We start from the raw sequence: 6000 nt of genomic DNA, 5'->3' as shown, positions 1-6000 counted from the left end.
CCCACATCTTCCGGCCAAGCAGCTGGGACTTTAGTTGTGTACCACTACTCCCAGATAATTTTCTTATTTTTATTTTTGTAAAGACAGGGTCTTGCTTTTTTTTCCCAAGCTAGTCTCAAACTCTTGGGCTCAAGAAATCCTCCTACTTCAGCTTCCCAAAGTGCTGGGATTACCAGGTGAGCCACTGTGCCCAGTCTTTTTCTACTTTTTTGATGTAGGTGTTTATTGCTATAAACTTCCTTCTTAGCACTGTTTTGCTGTATCCCATAGGTTTTGGTACATTGTATTTTGATTTTCATTTGTTTCCAGAAATGCATTTTCTCCTTTATTTCTTCCTTGACCCAATGGTCATTCATGAACATTTTGTTTGTTTGTTTATTTATTTTGAGACAGAGTCTTGTTTCCTCACCCAGGCTGAAGTGCAGTGGCCATGATCTCGGCTCACTGCAACTTCTGCCTCCCGGGTTCAAATGAGTCTCCTGCCTCAGCCTCCTGAGTAGCTGGGATTACAGTCACCCACCACCATGCCCGGCTAGCTTTTTTGTATTTTTAGTAGAGAGGGGGTTTCACCATGTTGATCAGTCTGGTCTTGAACTCCTGACCTCAAGTGATGCACCAACCTCGGCCTCCCAAAGTGCTGGGATTACAGGCATGAGCCACCACGCCCAGTGAGCATTTTGCTTAATTTCCATATTTCTGTACAGTTTCTAAATTTCCTCTTGTTATTGATTCCTAGTTTTATTCAATTGTGGGCTGAGGAGATACTTGATAAGATTTATTTTTAAAATTTTTTTATTTGTAAAAATTTATAAGTTACATGTGAAATTTTGTTACATGTATATAATGTGTAGTGATCGAGTCAGGGTATTTAGGGTGTCACTCAAGTACAATTTTTTTTAAACTACAGTTACACTTCTCTGCTGTCAAGCATTAAATTTATTCCTTCTATGATTTGTACATCTTAATCCACTATTTTTTATCCTCCACCCTCAGCCCCAATCATCCTTCTCAGTCTCTGTTATCTATCTTTCCACTCTATATCTCCATGTGATAAAATTTTCCAGCTCCCATATGTAAGTGAGAACATGCAATATTTATGTTTTTGTGCCTGGCATATTTCATACGTTCTTCAGTCCCAACCTTGTTGCTGAAAATAACATGATCTCATTGTTTGTTTTTAATGGCCAAAAAGTATTTCATTGTGTATATATTGTACACTTTTTTATTCATTCACCTGTTGTTGCACACTTAGGTTGATTCCATATCATTGTGTTTTTGAATACTGCTTCATTAAACATGAGAATGCAGGTATCCCACTGATATATTATTTTTTTCCTTTGGGTAGATACCCAATAGTAGAATTGCTGGAACCTGAGCAGAGTCTGGCACCATGCTTCATGTAAATCCTACAGAATAATGAGCCAATTAAACCTCTTTTCTTTAAAAATTACCATCTCATATATTTCTTCGTAGAAGTGCAAGAATTGCATAGCACTCCCACTTATTTATCATTTTCTTTATTTGGACATTCTCTTTTCTTTTGTTGGTTACTCTAGTTAGCACTTTATCAATCTTGTTTATCTTTTTGAACAACCATCTTTTTTGTTTTATGAATCCTCTGTTTTTTTTACTGTCTACATAATTTAGTCCTGCTCTGGTCTATGTTATTTCTTTTCTTCTCATAATGTTGGGCTTGGTGTGTTCTTGTTTTCTTAGTTCATTGCAGTGCATTGTTAGATTGCTAATTTGTAATCTTTTATACTTTTTTTTAATATAGGCATTTATTGCTATAAAGTTTAGTCTGAGCACTGCTCTTGCTGTGTCTCACAAGTTTTGGTATGTTGTGTTTCCATTTTGATTTGTTTCAACAAATTTTTTGACTTCTATCTTAATTACTCTGTTGATCCCATGGTTATTCAGAACCTGTTGATTAATTTACGTGTATTTATATGGCTTCCAATGTTTCTCATGCTATTTATCTCTAGTTTTATTCCATTTGGTCTTATAGTATACTTTATATGATTTTAATTTTTTCAATATGTTGAGATCTTTTCGTGGCTTAACCTACAGTGTAAAATTCTGGAGAATGTTCTACGTGCTGATAAAAAATTTATGCTCAGTAGTTCTTAGATATAAAGTTCCATAAATGTCTATGAGGTTCCTTTGGTCTAAAGTGCGGTTTAAATCCAATTATTCTTTTTTAAATTTCTGCCTAGATTATGTGTTTAATTCTTAGAGTAGTATGTTAAAGTCCTCAACTAGTAGAGTATTGAAATCTTTTCTTTGACTTACATATAATATGTGCTTTATACATCTGGGTGTTCCAGTGTTTGGCACATATATGTTCATAAAATCTGAATAGACTAATAATGAATAATGAGATTACATCAGTAATAAGATGCCTCCCAAAATAGAAAACTCTAGGAATAGTTGGCGTCACTACCAAGTTCTTCCAAACTTTTAAAGAACTAACACTGCACTTTTCCAAAAAATTGAGGAGGATGGATTCTTCCTAACTCATCCTATGATGCCAAGGTTACTACAATACTGAAACCAGACAAAGAAGCTAAAAAAAGGAAACTACAGGTCAATATTTCTAATAAATATAGATGCAAAAACAGTCAGGCTCCTCTGCTACAGGCATGCTGGAGTTTGCTGGAGGTCCACTCCAGACCCTGGTTGCCTTTGTATCACCAATGGAGGTTGCAGAACAGCAAAGATTGCTGCCTGTTCCTTCCTCTGCAAAGTTTGTCCCCAAGGGGCACCTGCCAGATGCCAGCTGAAGCTCTCCTGTATGAGGTATCTGTTGACCCCTGCTGGGAGGTGTCTCCCAGTCAGGAGGAATGGGGTTCAGAGACCCACTTGAGGAGGCAGTCTGTCCCTTAGCAGAGCTCGAGCGCTGTGCTGGGAGATCTGCAGCTTTCTTCAGAGCCAGCAGGCAGGAAGGTTTAAGTCTGCTGAAGCTGCACCCACAGCTACCCCTTCCCCCAGGTGCTCTCTTTCTGCACAGCAAAAGAAACTAACAGAGTGAACCAGCAATCTACAGAATGTGAGAAAATTTTTGCAATCTATCCATATGACAAAGGGCTAATATCCATAATTTACAAAAAACTTAAACAAATTTACAAGAAAAAAGCTTTCCCATCAAAAAGTGGGCTAAGGATATGAACAGACACTTCTTAAAAGAAGACATTTATACGGCCAAATAACATATGAAAAAAATCTCATCATCACTGGTCATTAGAGAAATGCAAGTCAAAACCACAATGAGATACCATCTCATGCCAGTTTGGCGATCTTTAAAAAGTCAGGAAACAACAGGTGCTGGAGAAGATGTGGAGAACTAGGAATGCTTTTACACTGTTTGTGGGAGTGTAAATTAGCTCAACCATTGTGGAAGACAGTCTGGTGATTCCTCAAGGATCTAGAACCAGAAATGCCATTTACCCAAAGGATTATAAATCATGCTACTATAAAGACACATGCACGTGTATGTTTATTGCAGCACTGTTCACAATAGCAAAGACTTGGAACCAACCCAAATGCCCATCAATGATAGACAGGAAAAAGAAAATGTGACACACATATACACTATGGAATACTATGCAGCCATAAAAAAAGGATGAGCTCGTCCCCTTTGCAGGGACATGGATGAAGCTGGAAACCATCATTCTCAGCAAACTAACACAAGAACAGAAAACCCAATACTGCATGTTCTCACTCATAAGTGGGAGTTGAACAATGAGAACACATGAACACAGGGAGAGGAATGTCACACACTGGGACCTGTCAGGGAGTGGGGGGAGGGATAGCATTAGGAGAAATACCTAATATAGATGACGGGTTGGTGGGTGCAGCAAACCACCATGGCACATGTATACCTATGTGACAAACCTGTACATTCTGCACATGTATCCCAGAACTTAAAGTATAACAAAAAAATAAATAAATAAAAACAAAATGAAATTCAGAAATTGCCACAGTACATTATCTACAAAACATCCTACATTTATATTTGTCCAATTGTCTTAACACTATCTTTTTTAAAAATCTTACTTTTCCAATTTGAGATCACACATTGAATTTAGTTATCATGGGTCTTTATTCATCTTTATTCTGGAGCAGTTCCTTAGCCTGTCACTGGCATTAATTCTTTGACATATTTGAATAATGTAGGCCCTTAATTTTGTAAGATGTTTATAAATTTGGTTTCTTCTGATTATTTCTTACAATTAGATTCAGGTGATGCATTCTTGTCAGGGACATCATAGATTTGTTGCTCAGATTAATGTTGGCTATTTGATTATGATGGTGTCTACCATATATCTGCACTCTACAGGTAATATTCCCCACTCTTGAAATTAATAAGTGGTAAGTGAAAAGATATTTTGAGACTAAAAATATTCTGTTTGTCAAACTTTTATCCAGTGGTTTTAGGATCCATTGATGAGCTATGTATGAATTAAGTATTATTTGATGGTTTCAAAACAATGACTTTCTAAATCCATTATATATATGATTATATATATGATATATGATATATAACATATATATGATTATATAATATATATAATCATACGTGTAATGTTGTTCTAGGACCTGTTGCTTCTAGGATCTCTTAGTGAACAAAATTATAAAACATTTTTGGGGGATATTGGAAGAGCTTTCCTTACCATGGTCTCATTACTTACATACCCCCCTCCAGTTTCCCGCCAGCCATACTAACTTACAGCAGCATGTCCTTGCCTTCTTCACTGTAGCTTCTTCTAACTGGAATTCCCTTACTTAATGGCCTGCCTCGAAAACACGTAACTCTCCATTTGTCAGTTTCAGCAACATCTCTTCTCTAAAGTTTCTTAAGATCCCCTCATTAGCACTGGACATTCCCTTCTTTAATTTCCCTGCTGTACCCAAAACAGACACGATTCCAGCATTTAGGAAACTTTATTGCACTTATCCATTTACATGTCCTAATTTTCCAGTAACATAAAAGCAAGAAGCAAATATTACCATTTTAGTAAGACCAACAGTTAGAGAAGGAAATAAAAGTAGAAAGAATAACTAAATGAGTCAATAAATTCCCCAGTTGTTTCTCTGCTTGTCTGCTGGTGCTTGATTTCACCCAATTAATAGAAACACCACCACACGAACACAAACACACACACACATTAACCTTGCAGAAGGTCCTCCTAAAACTTTCCTGGACAGACCCAGCCCCCAAAAGTTTTCTCCAAGTACTGGGCCACAGCCAGGGTCAGATGATCATTAAAGGGTCCAGCCACAACCTGGATGCCTAAAGGGAGTCCTTTGGCATTCAGTCCCAGTGGGCATTGGGTCACAGGCAAACCCAGGGCACTGAAGACACCTGAAGAAAACAAACAAAATAAGTGAGAAATCAAGACCTGTTCCTGAAAACGTATTTTTTCAATTATTTTACCAATAATAAATAGGTGAAAATATATAATTATAATTTACTATCTACTTAGGACTTAATAATATTTAGGAACTTTATCTGTATTAAATATTTGACATCACAACAAGCTCATAATATAGAAGCTATTAATTATCACTATTTTTCTGATGAAATGACTGAAGAATAGAGAAGTTAGATAACATATCCAAGATCACTTGGCTAGCAAAAGCTGTAATTGAAATCTGAATGCAGAAAGTGTGAATAATAGCCTAAAGTTCTTTCACATGACGTTATTTCTAATTTGTTTTCCATAGCACTTTCAGAAAAATCAGAGTAAATTATAAAGTAGAATAATATATTCTTAAATATATGGATTTTCTTTTAAGCTATAAACATTTTGTAATATCATTTCACACTAATCTAGAGTTGTGATTTGTCATTATTTACCTCATTCATGCTGTTATAAAACTTTATTGCAGCATAATTTATATAAAATAAGATTCCCCGTTTCAAATGTACAGTTTAATGATTGCTAATAAATTTACAGAATTGTGCAAGCATCACCACAATCTAGAAATCTCCATTTC

At 36.1% G+C, this 6000-nt stretch overlaps 1 protein-coding gene across 10 annotated transcripts in view; it reads right to left on the bottom strand.

Annotated features, from left to right (window-relative positions):
* The window catches only part of FAAH2 (fatty acid amide hydrolase 2), a 367606-nt gene continuing 366531 nt past the window's right edge, over positions 4926–6000 (bottom strand). For 7 of the 10 annotated variants that reach the window (XM_011530767.4, XM_005261985.4, NM_001353840.1 and 4 more), the window contains one exon: positions 4926–5365. In XM_011530767.4, coding sequence (XP_011529069.1) covers positions 5190–5365 — 176 coding nt within the window. In that variant the 3' untranslated portion in view covers positions 4926–5189. The remainder of the gene's footprint in view (positions 5366–6000) is intronic. The other 3 variants (NR_148564.2, NR_148557.2, NM_174912.4) reach the window with 1 other exon arrangement.

The sequence above is a fragment of the Homo sapiens genome, chromosome X, assembly GCF_000001405.40.
Source record: "Homo sapiens chromosome X, GRCh38.p14 Primary Assembly".
Taxonomy (NCBI): Eukaryota; Metazoa; Chordata; class Mammalia; order Primates; family Hominidae; genus Homo; species Homo sapiens.
This window is presented reverse-complemented; position numbering and strand designations above follow the sequence as displayed.